We start from the raw sequence: 26289 nt of genomic DNA, 5'->3' as shown, positions 1-26289 counted from the left end.
CCTTATTAACAATGAAATCCTGTCATTTATGACACCATGGATGAAACTGGAGGATATTATGCTAAGTGAAAGAAGTTAGGCACAGAAAGACAAATATTGCATGATCTCACTTATATGTGGAATCAAAAATAGGGAAATACATAGAAACAGAAAGTAAAATGGTGAAGGGGCTGGTGAGGGAGAAATAGGCAGGTTTTGGTCAAAGAGTACAAAGTTTCAGTATTTATTTATACACAATAAATAAGATCTGGATGTCTTCTTACCATAAAGAGCCTATGATTCACAATAGTGTATTATATACTTAAAAATAAGTAAAGAGGGTAGATCTCACATTAAGTGTTCTTACCACAAAAGGTGGGGGAAGCCCAAAGGGGTGGAAACTTTTGGAAGTGATAGATGAATTTATGGGATTGATGGCATGATGGCTTAATGGTTTCACAGGTATATATACTTACCTCCAAACACATCAAGTTGTGTATATTAACTGTGTACAGTTATATCAATCATAGCTCAATAAAGCAATTTTTTAAAGTATGTATAGTTTTATACTTGAGAATATCTAATTATACAGAATTTGTATATATATGCATAGAAATTACATATTTAAATATATAATAGGGAGTATCTTGGAGTGAACTTTTATCTGACTAATTTTGTTCTTTTTCCTTACCTCTATTCTCTGTTATCTACAATCTGTCTATCTATCTATATTCGTTTGTTTAAGAAAAAAGTTAGATATACATATTCCCTCTTCATTATATTCGTTTTTCGGACGTTTTTGTCAAGAACAGATGTGGAGGAGTGAACAGATTACTCTACAAGGATGTTCATCAGTATACTATTTTTGGTAGCACTGAAGGGATCATAACCTAAGTTCCTAACAGGAAGAAAAAAGCTAGAAAAAAATCTACCCCAAAAGTATGACCTCATTCTTGGATGGAATCTCTCTGGTGCTTGCTCGCTGTCTCTCTCTCTGCCCCCTGTCTCTGCCCGCCCCGCCCCCCCGCCACCGTCCCCTCAACACACACTCATAACAAAGAAGCTAGCTATAAATCAGAGATTTACTTTTAGAATGCTAAAAAATATTAATCACTGCGTTAATAAATATTTCTGCAATGAATCCATCTGGGTAGTTTGGTTTTTTATCTGTTGAATAAAGAGTTATTTATAAATCATCTATTAATGTAGTGAATAGGTATTACTTTTGTGTCTGGGGTGTTGTTAACGCAAACTTTGCATCTCTTTGGATTTACAGTTGTTTATAGCAAAAGAAAAAATCTTTTCCTTTTTTCTTCTTTTCATGTAAACAACGATGGAAACGACGCACGTTCGCAACCCGCAAAGCATTAGAAAGACACCGGTGAAAGACGCAGCTCAAGAGGGCGCTTTGCAGAAGATGCTGGGAAATGTAGTTCCTGGCGGCCGCGTGCGCAGGCGTACTTCCTGGCTTGGGAACCACATCGCCCGACCGTGCTCTTTATTTTTCGGTGGAGCAGGTGAGCTTTTTCTTTCCCGACCCTTGCACTCGTGTGGGAGGTGGGGAGAGAGGTCCCCTTCAAACACAACCATTCGGGCGGGTCGGGAGAGGCCTGAGAATGCATTGGCCGGGCCCGGGGGCGGAGGAAAGCCGATTAGGTCAGGCTGGGTATTTGGTTCACGTTGCAGTGGAGGGGTGGTGGTGACCTGGGCCAGCATCCCGCTTCAGGGTGAGGAGGAGGCAAAGCCGTGTCTGCTCATCCCAGCCTTAACAGTCAGGGGCTTGGGTTCTCTTCTGGGTTGGAGAGTCATGAGAACAGAGCTCAGAGCTTTTGGGCCTTGCTTTGACTGTGATGGGGGGCAGTTTATCTGGGGAGGGGCAACCACCCCAGACCTTGGTGGTAGGTAGACCTGGGAATTGCAAGAAAACCGTGATATACGTATTTAGTGCCAACTAGAATTTAGGTTTCCCGACATCCAGTTCTTGCTCTTTCCTCAGAAACTCACCTCCTCTCTAGAGATAGCTTGTTTCGTTTTACTGGTAAATTTCTGAAGTCTCTTCTATAAAGAACTGTGGAATTGATTCCCTACACTCTGCGGGCGACGAAGAGCAATTGTTTGTTCTTTGAGATGGCATTTGTGAATGCACTTCGAAAAATTGTATATGCTTTACAAGTATTGTTAACAAACAAAGAGGGAGCTGGTGCACTCGGTGCCACCCATCATGGGAGGATAAAGTTAGCCCTGTTTCTGGTTTGTCAGATTGGACCAGTGACCAGAGAGAGGAATGTAAGTGGCCTTTCACTTTGTACTCTGCAGGGAAAGAATCTGTTCCTAGATTCATTCTGACATTTTTACAGAGGGTGTGGGTTATATCCAGGTAGTCAGACAGGCTTCTCATAAAGACAGTCCTGATTTCTCAGGGCCCCTTTCCTTTTTCAGCTCTGCTTTCTCAGGTCTCTACTTACTTATATAAGATGGCATCAAGAAGAAGGACCTGACCACTGGCCCCTGACTACATGGTCTTTGGTGAGCAAAACTTTTCAAGGCATTTGTACCTTAAGCTGGGTTTAATTTCTAAAGTTCCATCTTGCAGTGTGGAAAAATCATATGCAATTAAACGTCCCTTGATAATCTCTTTTATTGCTCATTATTTGCTCTCAATTTTTTTTTTTTTTTTTTTTTGAGACAAGGTCTCGTCCAGTTGCCCAGGCTGGAGTGCAGTGCACGATCTTGGCTCACTGCAACCTCTGCCTCCTGGGTTCAAGCGATTCTTCTGCCTCAGCCTCCTGAGTAGCTGGAATTACAGGCGTGCACCACCACGCCCGGCTAATTTTTGTATTTTTAGTAGAGATGGGGTTTCACCATGTTGGGCATCCTGGTCTCAAACTCCTGACCTCGTGATCTGCCCACCTCAGCCTCCCAAAGTGCTGGGATTACAGGTGTGAGTCACCGTGCCCGGCCTAATTTTTCTTTATAACTGACAAATAAAAATTTTATATATTCATCATGTGTAACATGTTGTTTTGAAATATGTATACGTAGTAGAATGGCTAAATCAAGCTAATGAACATGCATCACCTCACGTACTTTTCATTTTTTGTGGTGAGAGCACTTAAACTGCTCTCATAGCAATTTTCAAGAATACATTGTTATGAACAATAGTTCATAACGTGTATGCACATGTAATGTGTATACAACCATGCAATAATATACATGTGTAAATGTACCCCGACTATGTTCTTTAAACATTAAAATAACTCAGCATAGCAAGATGCTCACTTACGAGAGGGCTGTAAGAAGTGAGACTGAGGAAACAGGAGATTCTCCCATCTCACTCTTACCTTTAGATAACATACTTTCTTGAGCCTGTTGGGCAGATTTGTACAAATAAAATATACATGTGTGTCTGTAACGCAGCTCTGCTGTATTTTTTATTTCCTGAAATATCACCTCTGTCCAGAGGGAGGGAAAATTTTCTTTCTTTCACTCACTGAATAAATATTCATTGAGCACCTACTTTTTGCCAGCTAATGTTCTAAGCATTGGGATATAACAGTGAATAACACAAAGTTTCTGCCTATGTGGAACTGACAGTCTTGGATGGGCACACAGACAATAATGTAAACACAGATGTTCCTCAACTGAGCATGAGGTTACATTCCAGTAAATGTGTAAGTTGAAAATATTAATTCAAAAATGTACTAATTCACCTAACCTACTGAACATCATTCATAGTGATGAATAGAGGAAACTATACCAGAGTAATGGGGCTAGGGAAGGCATAGGACAGCTGTTATTTAATATAGGGGAGTAAGAGAAGGCTTCACTGGTAGATGACATTATAGAAAATGAGAATATGGGCCGGGCGTGATGGCTCATGCCTGTAATCCCAGCACTTTGGGAGGCTGAGGCAGGCAGATCACGAGGTCAAGAGATTGAGACCATCCTGTCCAACATGGTGAAACCCTGTCTCTACTAAAAATACAAAAATTAGCTGGGCGTGGCGGCATACGCCTGTAGTCCCAGCTACTCGGGAGGCTGAGGCAGGAGAATCGCTTGAACCTGGGAGGTGGAGATTGCACTGGGCCGAGATCACGCCACTGCATTCCAGCCTGGGCTACAGAACAAGACTCTGTCTCAAAAAAAAAAAAAGGAATATGAGCCTTGTAGATACTTGGGGAGGGGAGGGGGATTAGGGAGATTAAGTTCCTCAGCAGAAGCAACAGCAAATGCAAAGCCTCAAGGTGCAGATGTGCTTAACCTTTGTGGGAGCATCAGGAAGGCCACGTGGCCAGAGAGGGGTGAGTGATAGCAGCACAGTAGGAGTTGAGATGAGAGAGGTAAGGCGTGCAGACCACACAGCACACAGGCTAGTATGGCCACAGCCAGTTTGGCTTTTATGCTGAATGAGAAGAGAAAACGTAGGAGGTGATGGTGTTCGGTGTTATTGTTTATTCAGCTCTATTAAGATTTACATATAATTTACCAATTTTCATAGGGTTTTGAATAGAGAAGTGACATAACTTGACTTAGTTTAAAGGAACAATTTTGGATGCTCTGTTGAGAATAGAGTATAGGGTAGCAAGGTCAGACATGGATACTGGCTAGGAAGCTAAAGCAATCATCCAGGTGAAAGATGGATTTTTCTATTTCCTTCATTGTCTGACTTTTTAAGCCAACCAACACTTCATCCACCCCAAACTTCCAATTCCTCTCCCCATCTCCACTCTCATGCTTCCTATTTCACTAAGAGAACTAGAAAAGAACTTCCAAATGCTCTCACCACCACATCCCCTAACCTTCCAGGAAGTATTCCCATTATACTCCATAGTAACAGGAGGGAACCTGTCTTCCCTCCTGTTACTATGGAGAAATGGCCTGGACTCTAATTTATGGCCAACTCCTCTACCAGTGCACTAGATCTCACTTTCTCTCACTTACCCGGGACAGTGCCTGGGACAGTCACTGGGCAAAATTCCTGATAGTTTTGTCATTTATATATATTTTGCTTATTTAGCTATATAGACATAATTTTTCAGAAAAATAGAAAAATTCAAATAAAATGCTGGATTTTTAAATCATAAATGATCTAATATCCATCAACACTTAATTTACTGTGAGAGAAATCCACAAATACATAATGTTTCTATCATTCTTGAGTTGAAAGGAACTTCTGTTAAAAGAGTTCAACTGTAATTCCATTGGATCAAAACTATTCATAAATCCGTAGAATTTCCTTCCTTTTCATAAATATTTCTTCCTGTTACTCTATGCACCATTCCCTCCCAAACCCTTGTCTCATTTTCAGTTTCATTACTTAGAATGTTAAAAAAGGACATCTTAGCCAATTCTCAAAGCCCTGGTATCTGTATTTTTCTATTTGAGTTTAGGCCATTCACATGTGTCTTGATTTCACTTCAGTTTTGTACATTTTCTTGTGTCATTAGTAAATTAAAGAGAATATGCTTTATAGGCAGTAATTTGCATGTGTAAACATGAGGCTTTCCACTTAAAATGTTTACACTTAACTACCTGATTAAAAACTAATACATTCTTATGATAATCATTAAAATTTTAATTTATGAAGAATTTATGTCTTTAGAAGGACTCAGGGTCATTTGAATGGCTCATTGCCCTTTCAAGAAAATCTTTGTACAAAATGCTGTCCCGGTGATGCAGAAAAATTTTCCCTCTATGAATTTGACTAATAATTTGAAATTTTTCTCCTTTTCCTTCTTTTTCTTTTCAGAAATAGTGTTTGGACCATTTTTAAATGGAGAGAAATAATGCTGAACTCGAGAATAGGGGAGAGGCTATAGTCCTAGCTCTGCCAGTGGCTAATTGGGTGACCTTAGGCAAGTCAGTTCATTACTGTTGGCTTGAGGTGTGTCCTGGGCAAACTGAAGAAATTTGCCTTAATGTTTCCTGAACCTCTTTCTAACTCAAATGCACTGACATTATGACATCATTTGTGAGGTTTAGAGAGCAAGAAGCTCTAGCATCTGGCACTCGTTTTTATTTTCTGTCTTTACTGTTCTAACAACATCAGAGTCAGCCTTGAAAGAGAAAGGAACTTACAGTTGGATGGCCTGAGGGATGTGGCAAAGATTAGGATACTCACAGCTAATTTTGCCTGGCTGATTACAGGGATCATTATGAGTTGAGAACATAGTAACCACAGGGTTTTTAAATAACAACTGTCAGGTCACCAGTATACTAAGAAGTAGGTAAGACAGGGTCTCCAGTCATATTTTGGGGAGTTAGTCATGAGTTCTATCTGGCTACTGTGACCAAGAAACCTCACAGATTCAGCAATACTAGCAGAAGTGTAGTTTAGAATTCTGACAGGCAGGCTGCTGAAACTAAACTGATGAAAGAATAAATAGCTTGCAGAACATTAATCGTTGAGTGTTCATTAAAACATCTACCCCGTCAGGGGTACCCTACTAAGTACATGGAGATTTTTTTCTTTTGAGACGGAGTCTTGCTGTGTTGCCCAGACTAGAGTGCAGTGGCACGATCTCAGCTCACTGCAACCTCCGCCTCCCAGTTTCAAGCGATTCTCCTGCCTCTGCCTCCTGAGCAGCTAGGACTACAGACATGAACCACCACGCCCGGCTAATTTTTGTATTTTTAGTAGAGACGGGGTTTCACCATATTGCACAGGCTGGTCTTGAACTCCTGACCTCGTGATCTGCCTGCCTCAGCTTCCCAAAATGCTGGGATTACAGGCGTGAGCCACTGTGCCCAGCCAAGATTTTTTTTTTTAAAAAATTACCATAGTCTTTGCTCAGAAAGATAAAATCTAGCCACAAGAAGCATTAACCTTACTTTGCAGTTAGAAGGTATTCAATAAATTTTGATTTGAAAAATATAGTTAATAATGGCTTAGCTGTAGAAGAAGAGAGACAGATTAGATGGTATTTGGGTATTAGATAGGTACCCAAATCCTATCAAATTCTGAAGTTTATATGGCAATAAGGTAATTTGGACAGATTCATGGACTGTTGATACAGGAAAAACACTAATGACTTGAATCCTACTTCTTTAAGATAGCAGGTTTAAGTAGAAGCATGTTACAGATATATCACAAGGTGAACTCCAAAACTGAGGCTTAGCCCGGGAGGCCAAGTGGGGTCTTGGCTTTGTGCAGGAAAGAACTCCAGAGCAAGCCGACAGAGTAAAGTGTAAGCAAGTTTATTAAAAAGTAAAATAAAAGGGTGGCTACTCCATAGGCAGAGCAGGGCCACCCCATATGTATAGTAGCATGGGGAGCAGGGGTTGTTAGCTGGCTATTTTATGACTATTTCATGATTATATGCTAAACAAGGGGTCGATTACTCATGAGTTTTCTGGGAAGAGGGGGTGCTCCTGGAACTGGGGGTTTCCCTGTCCAAACCATACAGGGTAACTTTGGGCATTGCCATGGCAATTGTAAACTGTCATGGCTCTGGTGGGCATGTTTTTTAGCATGCTAATATATTATAATTAGTGTATAATGAGCAGGGAAGGTCGCTTTTGTTGTCATCTTGATTCTAGCTGGTTTAGGCTGGTTTCTTTTTTTTTTTTAATTTTTCATGCTTGAACTTTTAGAGAAATAGGCTGGTTTCTTTACTGTATGCCTCTTATTGGCAGGATCTTGTTACCTGTTGTTTACTTTCTCCTGTCTTACCAGTGGTGTCATATGACTCATTGTCTTGTAAACTAGTCCTGCTGAATTCCTATCTCAGATACAAAGACTACAGAATTGGGAATCAAGAGAAGTCTGTTCATGCACTCATTCAAGTAATATTTACTGGATGCATAGTGAATACCAGGTTCTGTGGGTGGCACTGAGGACAGAAGAGTAACTGTCAGGAGAGAAGAGGACTGTCCTGTTCTCAAGAAGCTAATAGCCTAGGAAGGCAGACAGACATTGGAAGTAGAATATTGACGTACAATGAATGTAATGATGTAGTGAGAGGAAAAGTACAAGGTTCTGTGAGTTCATTTTTGCAGGTAATATAACTATTATTAACAATGTTTATGACTCAAAGGTAATTTGTCATGAACCTGGTCTGGTTGTAATGTGACTTTATAATAAGTAAATACAAATAAATAAACCTTTTCCACTAAGAGTATATGAGAGCAGCCATTTTCCCAATACTTAAAACAGTACTGAATACTGCCTGTTTTTGACATTTTTGCCAATCTGATGAATGAAAATTGATATCTTAATTTGTATTTCTGGGATTAGAAGTGAGCTTGAAAATCTTTTTGTATATTGATCGTTTGTATTTCTTTTGTGAATTTCCTATTCATATCTTTTGCCCAGATTTGTATTGCATTATACATTTTTCCTATTTGATTTGTAGAAACTATATATAATACAGAAAATGGTCCTTTTTGCTTTATTAGTTGCAAATATTTACTCCCAATATGTCTTTTGTCTTTTAATTTAGTTGATTGCCTTCTGTTTGTATAGTCAAATCTGTGAATCTTTTTCTATATAGCCTCTAGATTTTATATTTTATTAAGGATTTCCCCATTGCAAGATTATAAAAAATATTCTTGCAATAGTTTTCCTGGCTCTTTTATAGTTCTAGTTTTATGTTTAAGTTTTTAATTCACCTATAATTATTTTTCATAAGGCAGCAGCTTTGAATTTATTTTTTCCCTAAGTGGATAAACCAGTTATCCTAAGATTATTTATTAAATTTTTATCCTTCCTCAAATAATTTGAAATGCTACCTTTATCATATATTAAATCCCCACAAAATAAAGGGCCTATTTCTAGACTCAGTTTTATTATTCTTTCAGTCTATCCCTGTGCCACTACCACCCTGTTTTAAAATTAATGTAGCTATAGAATATGTTTGGATATCTAGTATGGGCAAGTCCCCACCCTCAATCCTCGTCTTTTTTCATGTATTATATAGGTGTTTTAGATAGTTTGGGCTACTGTAACAGAATACTGTAGACTGGGTGGCTTAAACAACAAACATTTCTTTCTCATAGTTCTGGAGTCTGGAAATCCAAAATCAGAGTGCCATCATTGTCAGGTTCTTGTTGAAAGCCCTCTTCCTGGTTTACAGATGGCCATCTTATTGTTTCCTCACATGGCAAAGAGAAAGATCATTTCTCTCATGTTTCCTCTTACAAGTGCACTAATCCTATTGGTGAGGCCTCCATCATCATGACCTAATTACCTCCCAAAGGCCTCACCTAATACTATTACCTCAGGGGTTAAAATTTCAACATATGAATTTTGAGAGGACACAAACATTTAGTTCTTAGCTAAAGTTTAGTCAGTTAAGTTGGAGTATGCATTTGTCTCCTAGCACTGCCCTAGCAATGTGCCACAAATTGGGTAACTTAAAACAATATAAATTTATTATCTCACAGTTCTGAGGCTAGAATTCCAAAATCAAGCTGTCAGCAAGGTCATCCTGCCTCTGAAACCTGTAGGAAAATCATTCTTTGCTTCTCCCTAGCTTCAGGTGGTTTGCTGGAAATCTTTGGTATTCCTCAGCTTTCAGCTGCGTAACTCTGTTCTCTGCTCTTTCATCACATGACTTTCTGTGTGTGTGTCTGTGGGTCTTCCCGTGACCGTCTTCTTAAAAGGGCACCAGCCATACTGGATTAGGAGCCCACCCCATTCCAGTGTGAACTCACCTTAACTAATTACATCTGCAGTGATCCTGTTTCCAAATAAGGTCACATTCTGAGGTACTGTTAGGATTACAACATACCTTTTTTGGAGGGACACAATTCAACCCACAACAGGGGAGAATTAACATCTTTACAATATTAAGTCTTCTCATCCAGAAACATGGCTTTTCAGTTGATTCTCTTGAACTGCTGAGGAGTCAGCAGTCTTATTGTTTCTGCTTTGAAGTTACTCTGCCCTTTTGTTAAATTACTTTTAAGATTGTTCTCCTTTTCTGTGATTTTCAGGAGTTTGACTATTCTATTCCTGGGTGTAGCTTTCTTTGTATTTAGCTTGCTTATGGTTTGAGGGCAGTGGAATCTGTGAGTCATTGGTTGGGAAAAATCTATCCTTATTCCCTTAAATATAGCATCATTTCCATTCTTTTTTTTTTTTTTGAGACTCCACTTATATGTTAGACCGCTTAAGTCACATAAGCCCCTATACTCATTTTTAAGAGATAAGCTTCTATTGAATATCTGATATATGAAAAGGACTACATAAACTGCATCATCAGGAAGTAAAACATAAAACAAGGTGTATTAGTCCATTCTCATGCTGCTAATAAAAACATAGCCAAGACTGGGTAATTTATAAAGGAAAGAGGTTTAATGGACTCCCAGTTCAGCAAGCTGGGAAGGCCTCATAATCATGGCAGAAGACGAAGGAAGAGCAAAGGGACTTCTTACATGGTGGTGGGCAAGAGAGAGCTTATGCAGGCAGAGGAACTCCCATTTATAAAACCATCAGAACTCATAAGAGTTATTCACTACCATGAGAACAGTATGGGGGAAACTGCGCCCATGATTCAGTTATCTCCACCTGGCCCAATCCTTGACGTGTGGGGACAATTCCAGGTGAGATTTGGGTGGGGACACAGCAAAATCATATCACAAGGTGTCTTAGTTTGTGCTGCTATAGCAAAATACCTGAGACAGGGCAATTTATAAAGAACAGAAATTTATTTATCACAGTTCTGGAGGCTTGAAGTTCAAGATCATGGTGCCAACAGGTTTGTTGTCTAGTGAAGGCTCAGTCTATGCTTCAGGATGGTGCCTTGTTGCAGTGAACACTGTATCCTTACATGGCAGAAAACATGGAAGGGAACAAACCCACTCCCTCAAGCCTTTTTATAAGGTCCTTAATCCCTTCCATGAAGGCTCTACACTCATGACTTAATCGCCTCCCGAAGGCCTCCACCTCTTAATATTATCGCATTGGCAATTAAGTTTCAACATGTGCCTTTGGGAGATTCATTTAGAATATAGCACATGGCTAAATGATGATTAAAAGAAAAACAAGCTGTAAGAAAATAGTTGAATAGGAGATTAACTTAAAAATAAGGTATCTTTTGCTTTTATTAATAAACTTATTTTAGAATAGTTTTAGATTTGCGTAAAATTTACAGATATATTACAGAGAGTTCCCACATCCCCATAGCCAGTTTTCCCTACTGTCAACATCTTATGTTAGTTTGGTACATTTGTCACAGTTAGCCAAGGTTGGTACATTATTATTAACTGTAGTATTTCATTAAAATTTTTTTAGTATTTATGTAGTGTCATTTTTCTACTCTCTGATCTCATTCAAGATACCATGTTACATTTAGTTATATTTTCTCCTTAGGCTTCTATTGGCTGCAATATTTTCTTAGCTTTTTAAATCACCATTATTGTTTTAGGTGTCTTTATAGGGAAACTTCCGTATTGCTTCTGTATATCCTAAACAAGTAGTAGACATCAAATAATAAACTTTTGGCCACTCTTGAACCTAGAACTCTGAATCCTTTTCGAACAACTTAATAGTCCTCCACTTTGTCATTTTTAATTGTTAGCTTTACTGTTTCTTTCGTAAATGTCTGCAGGACTGATCCTTTAATGAGCAGGTACTTGTTTGATGTTTTAGGAACCCGTGGCATTGGAAGATGTCAGAGACATGGCACATGGATGTGATCTTCAAAAACTGTTACAGCCTCATCTCATTGGGTGAGTACAGTTTCTCCAATGCCAAAATATGTAGGATCATGAGATTTACAAGTGTTCATCTGAGACTGAGCTTTGAGTTTAGGGACCAGAGACAAGATATTTCTGTACTAAACAGATGATAGTCCTTTTCTTTAAAACTTTGTAAATAGTCTTACTTTGTTACCTTAGAAGTATCAACATTTCTCTATCGCAGAATTCCTGAAGACTACTTAGGACATAATTCTAGGATCCATTGATATTATCTTCCAACTAAGAAGAACCATATAAATAGATAACAAAGGAAAAATGGAGAAATGTCACAAAATATCAGCCAGGAAAGAATCAGATAACTAAAACAACCAAGAAGACAGGAATCCTTGTAAATAAGAGTCCATTTATCCATTATGGTGGTGCTAGTAACAATAGTGGTACTAGGAGATAGCTTTTGAAATGTTGGTTAAGGTCCTCTATGCAGAGCCCCTCGTCTGTATTTTAAAAACCTGCATTCATCTAGTAGAAGCAACAGCAACTTCATTTCTATATACCTTTATCTATCTTCTCACATATCTCTTGATCTCAGAGGAAGATTGGCCCCTTCCATTGTTAATCTTTCCATTCTGTACATCAGATTCCATTATTTTCTACTTGTTTTAGGGCCTGATTTAATGACTGTTTTATGATTCATTCTCTGCCGTTCACCAGCTCCTTTCCTTCTACTTTCAGACATTAAAAAGGTTTTCTTGCTTTTAAAATAACATGTTGCCTAAAAATTTTTTATCTACCTTTCAAAATTATTCTGTCATTACCAAATGTTTCAGACTTGTAGCTAATATCCTAAGTTCCTATTCTCTTTTAATCTTTGGAGTTAGATTCTTGTCTTCTGCTAAAATTATTTTGAAGAGATTCTTGAATTCTTTCTTTATAGCAACCTGTTCTTAGTCCTTTCTCTGTTCAGACTTTCTGCTGTGTTTGGTATTTTGTTTTACCTTGTGTGACATCACCAGATTCTTTTCCATTCTAATCTCTTTCCAAATGCTTTTTTGTTAACTTCACTTGCTCCCTAACGTAAATGCATGTGCCTTTATGGTTTTTTTACTTATTTTTATCTCAAAAAATTAGTGCATTCTGATATCCTCAAATAGTCCTTCCATGTTAACTGTCTTATATATTTTTTCAACTTAAGTGTTTCACTTATATTCTATTATCCCCATATATTCCCCTGCTTAGAGCTTATCTCCATTAGAATGTCCTACTTCACTTTAAAACACTTTAACCTCAATATGGTGAAAGCAAAATCACCAACTTGCCCTGGGTAGCCTCTCTTTCTTTATCATTAGTACCACTATTCTTCCAGCCTCCTTGGCTAGAAAACATTGTATCTTTATGAATCTTGTTTTGTAAAAATTCCCTATAATCTATTTCAGCATTTTTTGTTTCTTCTTTTTTATGTCTTATCTACACTTACACCAAGTTCTTACTAGTATTCTCCCAATCCAGGCTCATATCTTTCATATTATACTTTCTTGCTAAGTTTGACCATTGTTCTTTTATTCATTTTACACAGAATTAACAAGCTTTTAATCTAAAACATCACATCTAAGATATATTTATCCTGTTAATGTTCTGACAGAAAACTTCAGTTTTCCTGTCTCCTGCTAGATGACATTGAATTTCTCTGTTTAAAGTGTGAGAGTTTTTTATTATCTGATCCCATTTCACTTTTCTGGTTTTTTGCCTCTGGTTTCCAAAAACATACATACATTTGAATTAGTTTCATTGTCTTTTATTCACAACATTTATTTTACTGAATCTTTACCCTTGATTTTATTATGTACTTTGTCTCAAAGCTACCATTTCTTTTATCACAACTATTGTGATATCATACAAAACATATCTGGTCTTTGTTTCCAATTCTTGTCACAGAGCTTTGAAAGCCCTCCAGATTTCCTGAGTGATAGGAATATCTTTTGTTGTTCATAATACACCTTTTTAAAAAATCATACTTGAGTTTATGTGGATGAGGTGAAATAGGGTAGGGCCCCTAGATAGCCTCAATAGTGGATCTGATCACTAAAAAGACCAAGCAACTAGAGGGTTATAACTTTCAACTCCACCCAACTAACCTCTGGGAAGGAAGGTATGGGGATGGAGATTAAGCTCTATACAAATTCTTAAACAGTGATATTTGATGACCTTCTAGATTGGTCTACACATCAAGGTGCTGGAAGTGTCGCATGCCCAGAGATGATGTGGAAGCTCTATACCCCTTTCCCTTCTGCCCACCTTGCCCTGTGCATCTCTTCCTGAATGGCTTCTCCTGAATTGTATCCTTTATAATAAACTGGTAAATGTAAGTAAAGTGTTTTCCTGAGTTCTGTGAGCCATTCTAGCAAATTATTGAACCAGAGAAAGAGGGGTTATAGGAACCCTCAACTTGTAGCCAGTTGGTCAGAAGTATGGGAGGACCAGCTTGTGATTATCATCTGAAGTGGAGGCAGTCTTGTGGGACTGAGCCCTTTAACTTGAGGGATATGATGCTTACTCCAGGTAGGTAGTGTTGGAATTAGAGTAAATTGTAGGATATCTAGTTGGTGTCCAGAGAGTTGGAGAATTGGTCAGAATGGAAACAACCCCACACATTTGCACACAGAAGTGTGTTAAGTATGAGTTATAGAGAAGAATAGGCTGTGGCTATACAATTTGTCAGAAATGTTGTGAGTAGAGAAACTGTTTTCCAGACATATATATTGTTCCATTTCACCTTTAAACTTCCCTATTAATCAGCACTTATATTGAAAAACTTTACATTTTATCATAGCACTATTTTATTTTCTGTAACTGATGAATGAGCCTTGTTTTCTGCCTTTGTATTTCAGAGGAAAGAGATAATATCTTCTACTTAATCCTGGATACTATATCTGAAGTCAGAGCATCCACTCCAAAGCAGAGAATTTCTGAAAAACAAAATAATGTCATCATATGATGTTAGAATTTTTTTTCAAATGATGGTTCCTAATACTTCACATTAGAAGAACTCGAATTTGATGACCAGTTTGAGAAACACCAGTATATCCAGATTACAAGAAAAAGCGAGTCAAAAGGATGATCATGAATATAACAACTTCGAGGAAACATTTAACCAAAGACCAAAGCTTTTTAAACAACTGAGAGTTTTTATAAGAAAAAGACCTCATACAGTAGTCCCCACTTATTCATGGGGGATACATTTCAAGACCCACAGAGAAGGCCTGAAATCACTGATGTACCAAACCCTAACCAGGTTCTTAGGATGAGCTACTAAATGACAAATGGGTGGGTAGTACATAGAGTGTAGATACACCAGACAAAGAAATGATTCACAGCCCAGGCAGGACAGAGCAGATCACACAAGATTTCATCACAGTACTCAGAAAACCACACCATTTAAAAGTTATGAATTGTTTATTTCTGGAATTTTCCATATAATATTTTTGACCACAGTTTCCCATGGATAACTGAAACCATGGGAAGTGGAACTGTGGATAAGGCAGGACTACTGTAACTATGACATCAATGGTAGGAACCTGAAGCATAATTCTGCTGTAGTGGATTTTTTCAAAAGAAACTCATGAATGAAAAATAATTTATTAGATATAAGAAAGGATGCATTTGTATCTCAAACTTTACTTATTCTGGAAATAAATGAAAAGCCAACACCTATTACATACCGACAAAAATGAAAAAATAAATAAATGTAAAGCCATAGTTCAGTACTGATGGAATCTGAGAAAATTTATATGACCGCGAACCCATATCTCTGTACTGAATGTGGGAAAGGCTACACTTGTCTTGCATCCCTGACCCAGCATCAGAAAACACATATTGGAGAAAAACCTTATGAATGTAAAATATGTGGTAAGTCCTTTACCCGGAACAGTAATCTTGTTCAACATCAAAGAATACATACTGGAGAGAAACCTTATGAATGTAATGAATGTGGGAAAGCTTTTAGTCAGAGCACTAATCTTATTCAGCATCAAAGAGTCCATACTGGGGAGAAACCTTATGAGTGTAATGAATGTGAAAAAACCTTTAGTCATAGGTCATCCCTTAGAAATCATGAGAGAATCCATACTGGAGAAAAACCCTATCCTTGTAATGAATGTGGGAAAGCTTTCAGCCATATCTCTGCCCTTACTCAACATCATAGAATTCATACTGGAAAGAAACCATATGAATGTACTGAATGTGGAAAAACCTTCAGCCGCAGCACACACCTAATTGAACATCAGGGAATTCATTCTGAGGAAAAATCCTACCAGTGTAAGCAATGTCGGAAAGTTTTTTGCCACAGTACATCACTAATCCGACATCAGAGAACCCACACAGGAGAGAAACCATATGAATGTAATGAATGTGGGAAAGCTTTCAGCCATACCCCAGCCTTCATTCAACATCAAAGAATTCATACTGGAGAAAAACCCTATGAGTGTAATGCATGTGGAAAGGCCTTCAATCGGAGTGCACATCTTACTGAACACCAGAGAACTCATACTGGAGAGAAGCCCTATGTTTGTAAAGAATGTGGAAAAACCTTCAGTCGAAGTACACACCTTACTGAACATCTAAAAATTCATTCTTGTGTGAAACCCTATCAATGTAATGAATGTCAGAAACTGTTTTGCTATAGAACATCACTAATTCGACATCAGAGGACGCATACAGGAGAGAAACCCTACCAGTGTAATGAATGTGGGAAATCCTTCAGCTTAAGCTCAGCTCTAACTAAACATAAGCGAATACATACAAGGGAGAGACCCTATCAATGTACTAAGTGTGGTGATGTCTTTTGTCATAGTACATCCTTAATTCGACATCAGAAAACTCATTTCAGAAAGGAAACCTTAGCAGAGTAATGAGTGTGGGAAAGCCTGCAGTCAGTCGTAGGTTATTGTTTACACCTGAGCACTCACAGTTCAAGCAACCCTAGGATTGTTATGTGAGGAAAATCTTAGGCAAAACACTCATTTACTTAATATGCTATTTGTACTGAGAAGAAGGACTATGCTTATAATCTAAAAAAGGTGTTATTGAAAGAGAAAGTTATAATGGAAGTGTTCATCCAAAACTGAGGTTTGTTTTTTAAAGACATTTAGAAAGTTACTTTCAGAGATAATTTATTAAAATGTATATATTTGCTTATAAAAAAACTTTTTTTTTTTTTTTTTTTTTTTTTTTTTTTTTTGAGACGGAGTCTCGCTCTGTCGCCCAGGCTGGAGTGCAGTGGCGCGATCTCGGCTCACTGCAAGCTCCGCCTCCCAGGTTCACGCCATTCTCCTGCCTCAGCCTCCCGAGTAGCTGGGACTACAGGCGCCCGCTACCACGCCCGGCTAATTTTTTGTATTTTTAGTAGAGACGGGGTTTCACCGTGTTAGCCAGGATGGTCTCGATCTCCTGACCTCATGATCTGCCCGCCTCGGCCTCCCAAAGTGCTGGGATTACAGGCGTGAGCCACCGCGCCCGGCCATAAAAAAACCTTTTGAATTACACAGAAATCTTAGGTAAGGAAAATTGTTCACTCTATATATAATCCCTTTTTTGTTTATTAAGTCCTATGTTATATTTCAGCATTCAAGAAACACTTTTATAGAGGGTTTGAAAATAAAATTGACAGATTTCATTAATAGCCATAGACAAATAATGTTTTCTCCCACAAAGATACTATGCATTATTTTCTAAGATTTATGTAATATTTTTTAATGGACTATATATATGGTTACAAAGAAAATTGCAATAAATTCTCAGAGGGAAATATTCAGGCCCTCCCTAATTTTTTTCAGTGCAATGCAGTAAAAATATAAATGAAAACAACTAAAAGTAGCACCCCAACATGATTTAGAAATTTAAAATAAGTTTCTAAGTAATTTTGGAGTTAAAGAATAAATCTGTACAGGAAAAAAAACGTGATTATTAGAAGACAATAAAACTAGAACAAAAATTATACATTGAATTCAGAAAGGAAAAAGAATAATATAAATCCAAAGAAAAGAAATGCTTTAATAAAGATAAAACCACACCTCAATGAAATAGTTACAAAAGGTAGATTTCATAAGGCAATAGACAAACTTCTAGCAAGTAGGAATGATGGGAAAAGGACAAAAAATCCAAGAGTAAGAAAATGATTATAAATATATATGGAAGGAAACTTAAATACTCGAAGTCAATCATTAGGAAATCTAGCAGTTTAGTAAAGTCAGTACTAAGGTTTATTTTAGAACTTCTAGACTATTTCAAAAATAGAAATCTACATTAATAAACAAAAACCTATCTTAATAGATGCTGTAAAAATCATTTAATAAAATTCTATATACATTGGTGACTTTTTTTAAAGTTAGAAAATTCCTTATATTGTATATTGATGATGAGCATGTATTAGTGTGTGTTCTCCAGAGAGAGAAGAAAGAGAGAAGGAAGAGAAGGAATGGAGAGAGAGAGAAAGGAAAGTAGGAAAGAGAGAGAGAGGAAGGAAGGGAGGAAAGGGAGAGAAAGGCAGGGAGGAAGGGAGAGAGAGGGAAAGAAGGAAGGAAGAGAGAAAGGAAGGAAGGAGATGTGTATGGACATTAATGGATGATAAGAAGCCCAAGATCTGCAGTCAGCAAGCTGGAGACTCAGGAGAGCCGATGGTAAAGTTCTAGTCTTGAGTTTGAGGGCCTGAGTCTTCTGAAGGGCAGGAAAACTGAAGGTGTAAGTTCCAGTTTGAGTCTGCAGGCAGGCAGAAGACTAGTGTCCCAGCTTGAAGACAGGCAGGGAGAGAAGTCTCTTACTCAGCCTTTTATTCTATTTGGGCCTACAATGGATTGGATGAGGTCTACAGCCACATTGAAATCTGCTTTACTTAGTCTACTGGTTCAAATGTTAACCTCTTCTTTGAAACACATTCAAAGACACCTAGAAAAAATGTTTATTCAAATATCTAAGCACCACATATTTGGACCGTCAAGTTGACACATAAAATTAACCATGATGGGCTATTTACTATAAACCTACAAGAAAAACCATGAATAACCCAAAGCATTCTTACCGAAACAGGAATGAGATAAATGATGTTTGATGCCACCATTATTAGTCAATATTATGCTAAAGATCCCAGGTAATCCAATTAGAGAAAAAAAAGATAGCAATAATTTAAAGGAAGAGAAAAACTGTCATAATTTGAAATACATTCAATATTAGAAAATCCAATTAGAACTACTAAAATGATATATGTACAAAACAATATATTAAAAAAAAGTAGGAGAAATAGAAAAGATAGTAGAAAGAAGTGACATTTACAATTTTGACAATCTAAAAATACCAGGAATTTAAAAAATCCAAGATGTGATTAGGGAATAAACCTTTTCTAAAAAATATAGAATATTATAATAAATGAAAAGAACTGATTGGGAAAAATTGGAAAAATAATGTAAAGATGCCAGTTTGTATTTAATTTATCTCTGATTTGTAAATTTAATTGAATCACAATATAAATGGAATTTTTAAAATGACATCTCTATTAAGATATAATTCACAAGAAACAGCTGCAGACAGAGGCTCCCACTGAGAAGAATGAAAACAGTGAGTGAATCCTGCACTGGTGACTGAGGTATCCAGGTTCTCCTATTGGGACTTACTAGGCAATTGGCATGACCCATGGAGAGTGAGGAAAAGCATGGAGAGTGAGGAAAAGCACGGAGAGTGAGGAAAAGCAGGGTGGTGTGACGGCCCACCTGGAAGCCACACAAGGCAAAGGGAGCTACCACCTGCAGCCAAGGGAGGCAGTGAGTGATTGTGCTACCCTGCCCAGGAAACCACACTTTTTCCATGGATCTGTGCAACCCACAGATCAGGAGATCCCCTTCGTGAGCCCACACACCAGGGCCTTGGTGTGTAGCCACAAGGCTAGAGAGAGCCTACCACAGAGCTGTGCAGATTCTCAGCAGCCACTAGGCTGGAGACTGCCTAAGGCTGCTGAGTTCCTGCGGGAAGGACTGGCCACCATCACTGTGGCTTCCTGCTGCCTAAGATGACTTGAGTTCCCGGTAGGAGGAGTGGCAGCCATCACTGCAGCTCCAGTCTGCCATTTTTCCCCTGCCAGTGCTGGGGAGACTGGGTAGTTTGGACCCAGGAGGAATTGCCCACAGCACAGCACAGCAGCTATAAAAGGTTATAACCAGACTGTCTCTTTAGGCCAGGCCCTGATCAATCCTCCTCACTGGGTGGGGCCTCCCTGCAGGAACTTCAGCAATTCCTGCCAGGAGTTTAGAAACAGAACTCTGATCTCTCTGAGACTGAGCTCTTGTGGGGAGGGGTGGCTGTGGTCTCCATGGATCAACAGACTTAGTCTTTTCCCCCTGCTGGCTCTGAGGAATCCGGGCAGTCTGGACGAGTGGGATTCCACCCAGCATAGCACACCTCCTCTGCCAAGGGGCAGCTAGAGTGATTTGTTAGGTGGGTCCTGGATCCCATGCCTCCTGACTGGGGAGATCTCCCCAACAGAGGTCACCAGACACCGTATACAGGAGCATTCCTGCTGGCCTTAGTTTGGTGCCCCTCTGAGACAGAAATCCCAGAGGAAGGAGCAGGCAGCCATCTTTGCTATTTTCCAGCCTCCACTGGTGATACCTCCAAGTATGGGAGGGACCCCCAGCAAATTGCAGTAGCCCTATGGGAGTGGAACCTGACTGTTAAAAGAAAAACAAACAGCAACAGCAACAACAGTATCAACAAAAAAGTCCCACAAAAAACATATCCAAAGGTCAGCAGCCTCAAAGATCAAAGCTAGATAAACTCATGAAATGAGAAAGAATCAACAAAAAAGTAACCCCACTGAAAACTCAAAAAGCCAGAGTGCCTCTTCTCCTCCAATTGATTGCAACACCTCTCCAGGAAGGACACAGAACTTGGCAGAGGCTGAGGATGGATGAATTGACAGAAGTAGGCTTCAGAAGGTGGGTAATAACAAACATTGCTGAGCTAAAGGAGCATGTTCTAATCCAATGGAAAGAAGCTAAGAATCATGATAAAACATTACAGAAGCTATTAACCAGAAAAACCAGTAGAGAGGAACATAAATGACCTGATGGAGCGGAAAAACACAACACAAGAACCTCACAATGAAGCCACAAGTATCAATAACCAAATAGACTGGAGAAAAGAATTTCAGAGCTTGAAGACTATCTTGCTGAAATAAGACGGGCAGACAAGATTAGAGAAAAAAGAATGAAAAGGAATTAACAAAACCTCTGAGAACTATGGGATTATGTATAAAAGACTGAACCTATAACTGATTGGGGTACCTGAGAGAGAATGGAACCAAGTTGGAAACCATACTTCAGGATGTCATCCAGGAGAACTTCCCCAACCTAACAAGACAAGCCAACGTTCTTATTCAGGAAGTCCAGAGAACCCCAGTAAGATATTCCATGAGAAGATCAACCCCAAAACACATAATCATCAGATTCTCCAAGGTCGAAATGAAGGAAAAAATGTTAAAGTCAGCCAGAAAGAAAGGCCAGGTGACCTACAAAGGGGAGCCCATCAGAATAACAGCAGACCTCTCAGCAGAAACCCTACAAGCTTGAAGAGGAGGCCAATATTCAACATTCTTAAAGGAAAGAACTTCCAACCCAGAATTTTACATACAACCAAACTAAGCTTCGTAAGCAAAGGAGAAATAAAATCCTCTTCAGACAAGCAAATGCTGAGGGAATTCACTGCCACCAGGCCTCCCTTGCAAGAGCTCCTGAAGGAAGCACTAAATATGGAAAGGAAAAATTATTTCCAGCCACTCCTAAAACATGCTGAAGTATAAAGACCAGTGACACTATGAAACAACTACATCAACAAGTCTGCAAAATAACCAGCTAGCACAATGATGACGGGATCAAATTCACACATAACAATATTAACTTTAAATGTAAATGGGCTAAATGCCCCCAGTTAAAAGACACAGAATGGCAAGCTGGATAAAGAGTCAAGACCTATCAGTGTGTTGTATTCAAGAGACTCATCTCATATGCAAAGACACATATAGGCTCAAAATAAAGGGATGGCAGAAAATTTACCAAACAAATGGAAAGCAGAAAAAAGCAGAGGTTGCAATACTAGTTTCTGACAAAACAGACTTTAAACCAACAAAGATCAAAAAACACAAAGAAGGGCATTACATAATGGTAAAGGATTCAATTCAACAAGAAGAGCTAACTATTCTAAATATATATGCACCCAATACCGGAGCACCCAGACTCATAAAACAAGTTCTTAGAGACCGACAAAGAGACTTAGATTCCCACACAATAACAGTGGGAGACTTTAACATGCCGCTTTCAATATTAGATCATCAAGACAGAAAATTAACAAGAATATTCAGGACTTGAACTCACCTCTGGATCAAGCAGACCTGATAATTATCTACAGAACTCTCCACCAAAAAACAACAGAATGTACATTCTTCTCGGTGCCGCAATGCACTGACTCTAAAATTGATCACATAATTGGAAGTAAAACACTCTTCAGTAAATGCAGAAGAACTGAAATCATAAATCACACTCTCTCAGACCACAGCACAATCAAATTAGAACACAAGATTAAGAAACTCACTCAAAACCACACAACTACATGGAAATTGAACAACCTTCTCCTGAATGACTCCTGAGTAAACAATTAAGGCAGAAATCAAATTGTTTTTTGAAACCAAGGAGAACAAAGAGTCAACATACCAGAATCTCTGTGATGCAGCTAAAGCAATGTTAAAAGGAAAATTTATAGCACTAAATACCCACATCAGAAGGCTAGAAAGATCTCAAATAGACACCCAGCATCACAACTAAAAAAATGAGAACCAAGAGCAAACAAACCCAAAGCTAGCAGAAGACAAGAAATAACCAAGATCAGAGTGGATAGAGACACAAATAACCCTTCAAAAAAATCAATGAATCCAGGAGCTGGTTTTTGAAAAAACTAATAAAATAGATTGCTAACTAGACTAATGAAGAAAAGAGAGAAGAATCAAATAGACACAATAAAAAATGGTAAAGGGGATATCACCCCGACCCCACAGAAATACAACCAACCATCAGAGACTACTATAAACACTTCTATGCAAATAAGCTAGAAATATAGAAGAAATGGATACATTCCTGGACACATACACCCTCCCAAGACTGAACCAGGAAGTTGAACCCCTGAATAGACCAATAACGAGTTCTGAAATTAGGCAATAATAAGCTACCAACAACAACAAAAAAAAAGCCCAGGACCAGATGGATTTACAGCTGAATTCTACCACGGGTACAAAGAGAAGCTGGTACCATTTCTTCTGGATCTATTCCAAACAATTGAAAAGGAGGGACTCCTCACTAACTCATTTTATGAGGCCAGCATCATCCTGATATGAAACCTGGCAGAGATACAACAAAAAAAGAAAACTTCAGGGCAATGTCCCTGATGAACATCGATGCAAAAATTTTCAATAAAATACTGGCAAACTGAATCCAGGAGCACATCAAAATGCTTATCCACTAATATCAAATCAGCTTTATCCCTGGGATGCAAGGTTGATTCAACATATGCAAGTCAATAAATGTAATTCATCACATAAACAGAACTAAAGACAAAAACCACATGATTATCTCAATAGATGCAGAAAAGGACTTTGATAAAATTCAACATCCCTTCATGTTAAAAACTCTCAATAAACTAGGTTTTGATGGAACATATCTCAAAATAGTAAGAGCCACATGACAAACCCACAGCCAATATCAGACTGAATAGGCAAAACCTGGAATCTTTCCCCTTGAAAACCAGCACAAGACAAGGATGTCCTCTATCACCACTTCTATTCAACATGGTATTGGAAGTTCTGGCCAGGGCAATCAGTCAAGAGAAAGAAATAAAGGGTATTCAAATAGGAAGAGAGGAAATCAAACTGTCTCTGTTTGCAGATGACATGACCCTATATCTAGAAAACTCCATTGTCTCAGCCCAAAAGCTTCTTAAGCTGATAAGCAAATTCAGCAATGTCTCAGCATACAAAATCAATATGCAAAAATCACAAGCATTCCTATATGCCAACAATAGGCAAGCAGAAAGCCAAATCATAAACTCCCATTCACAAATGCTACAAAGAGAATAAAATACCTAGGAATACAGATAACAAGGGAAGTGAAGGACCTCTTCAAGGAGACTACAAACCACTGCTCAAGTAAATAAGAGAGGACACAAACAAATGGAAATACATTCCATGATCATGGATGGGAAGAATCAATATCGTGAAAATGGCCATGCTGCTCAAAGTAATTTATGGATTCAATGCTATTCCCATTAAACTACCATTGACATTCTTCACAGAATTAGAAAAAACTACTTTAATGTTCATATGGAACCAAAAAAAGCCCAAATAGCCAAGACAATCCTATGCAAAAAGAACAAAGCTGGAGGCATCACACTACCCAACTCCAAACTATACTATGAGGCTACAGTAACCAAACGAGCACAGTACTGGTCCAAAAACGACACATAGACCAATGGAACAGAATAGAGATCTCAGAAATAAGACCACACATCTGGAACCATCTGACCTTCAACAAACCTGAAAAAACAAGCAATTGGGAAAGGAGTTCCTATTTAATAAGTGGTGCTGGGAGAACTGGCTAGCCATATGCAGAAAATTGAAACTGGACCCCTTCCCTACACCTTATACAAAAATGAACTCAAAATGGATTAAAGACTTTAAAACCCAAAACTATAAATATCCTAGAAGAAAATATAGGCAATATCATTCAGGACATAGGCACAGGCAAGATTTCATGATGAAAATGCCAAAAGCTATTGCAACAAAAGCAAAAATTGACAAATGGGATCTAATTAAACTAAAGAGCTTCTGTACAGCAAAAGAAACTATCATCAGAGTGAACAGAAAATCTACAGAATGAGGGAAAACTTTTGCAACCTATCCATTTGACAAAGGTCTAATATCCAGAGTCTACAAGGAACCTAAACAAATTTACAAGAACAAATAATCCCATTAAAAAATAGGCAAAGGACATGAACAGACACTTCTCAAAAGAAGACATTTATGTGGTGAACAAACATGAAAAAAAAACCAACATCACTAATCATTAGAGAAATGCAAATCAAAACCACGAGATGCCATCTCATGCCAGTCAGTATTAAAAAGGCAAGAAACAACAGATGCTGTGGAGAGATAGGAACAGTTTCACGCTGTTGGTAGGAATATAAATTAGTTCAATCATTGTGGAAGACAGTGTGGTGATTCCTCAAAGACCTCAGACCAGAAATATCATTTGACTCAGCAATCCCATTACTGAGTATATACCCAAAGGAATATAAATCATTCTATTATGAAGATACATGCACACGTATGTTTATTGCAGCACTATTCACAATAGCAAAGACATGGAATCAACCCAAATGCCAATCAACGATAGACTGGATAAAGAAAATGGAATGATAGACTGGATAAAGAAAACGGAATATTATGCAGCCATAAAAAGGAAACAGATCGTGTCCTTTGCAGGGCTGTGGATGGAGCTGGAAGCCATTATCCTCAGCAAACTAACACAGGAACAGAAAACTAAACACTGTGTGTTCTCACTTATAAGTGGGAGCTGAACAATGAGAACACATGGACACAGGGAGAGGAACAATACACACTGGGGCCTGTTGGGGGTGCAGCAGGAGGAGAGGATCAGGATCAATAGCTAATACATGTGAGACTTAATACCTAGGTGATGGGTTGATAGATGCAGCAAACTACCATGGCACATGTTTACTTATGTAACAAACCTGCATGTCCTGCACATGTATCCTAGAACTTAAAATTAAATTTTTTTAAAAGATACAATTCACATACCCTTTAAAAGTATACAGTTCCTGGATTTTAGTACATTCACAGCCATGCAACCATCACCACCATGTGATTTCAGAACATTTTCATCATCCAAAAAAAAAAAAAAAACCAGCCAGGTGTGGTGGCTTATTCCTGTAATCCCAACACTTTGGGAGGCCAAGGCGGGTGCATCATTTGAGGTCAGGAGTTTGAGACCAGTCTGGCCAACATGGTGAAACTCCGTCTCTACTAAAAAATACAAAAATTATCCGGGCGTGTTGGTGGGCACCTGTAATCCCAGCTATTCAGGAGGCTGAGGTGGGAGAATTGCTTGAACCTGGGAGGCAGAGGTTACAGTGAGCCCAGATTGTGCCATAGAACTCCAGCCTGGGTAACAGAGCAAGACTCTGTCTGGAAAAAAAAATTATCCCCATTGCCCCTCTCTCTTAGCCCCTGGCAACCACTAATCTACTTTCTCTTTCTATGAATGTGTATATTCTGACCATTTCATTTAAATGGAATCAGAATATGTGGCTATTTGTGGCTGGCTTCTTTTACTTCACATAATGTTTTCAAGGTTTGTCTGTGTTGTAGCATATTTCAGTACTTCATTTTTAATAGGTAAATAATATTCTACGATATGGACATATCACATTTTGTTTATTCATCCATCAATTGATAAACCTTTGGGCTGTTTCCTCTTTTTGGTTGTTGTGAATAATGCTGCTCTGAATATTCATGCACAAATTTTGTGTGGACATGTTTTCAGTTCTCTTGGGTACAGCTAGGAA

The 26289-nt window shown here is 38.4% G+C and overlaps 1 protein-coding gene across 1 annotated transcript; it reads left to right on the top strand.

Moving 5' to 3' along the window:
• The first annotated feature begins 1453 nt into the window (after positions 1–1453).
• Positions 1454–25517, top strand: ZNF883 (zinc finger protein 883). Its single transcript, NM_001101338.2, has 5 exons — positions 1454–1496; positions 2419–2505; positions 11573–11652; positions 13832–13981; positions 14508–25517. The coding sequence occupies exon 5, from the start codon at positions 15387–15389 to the stop codon at positions 16524–16526; it is 1140 nt and encodes a 379-aa protein (NP_001094808.1). The 5' UTR covers positions 1454–1496; positions 2419–2505; positions 11573–11652; positions 13832–13981; positions 14508–15386; the 3' UTR covers positions 16527–25517.
• The last annotated feature ends 772 nt before the right edge of the window (positions 25518–26289 follow it).

Source organism: Homo sapiens, chromosome 9 (genome assembly GCF_000001405.40).
Source record: "Homo sapiens chromosome 9, GRCh38.p14 Primary Assembly".
NCBI lineage: Eukaryota > Metazoa > Chordata > Mammalia > Primates > Hominidae > Homo > Homo sapiens.
This window is presented reverse-complemented; position numbering and strand designations above follow the sequence as displayed.

Coding starts and splice junctions, on each gene's coding strand:
- ZNF883 (NM_001101338.2), top strand. CDS start 15,387: ATGGAATCTGAGAAAATTTATATGACCGCGAACCCATATCTCTGTACT.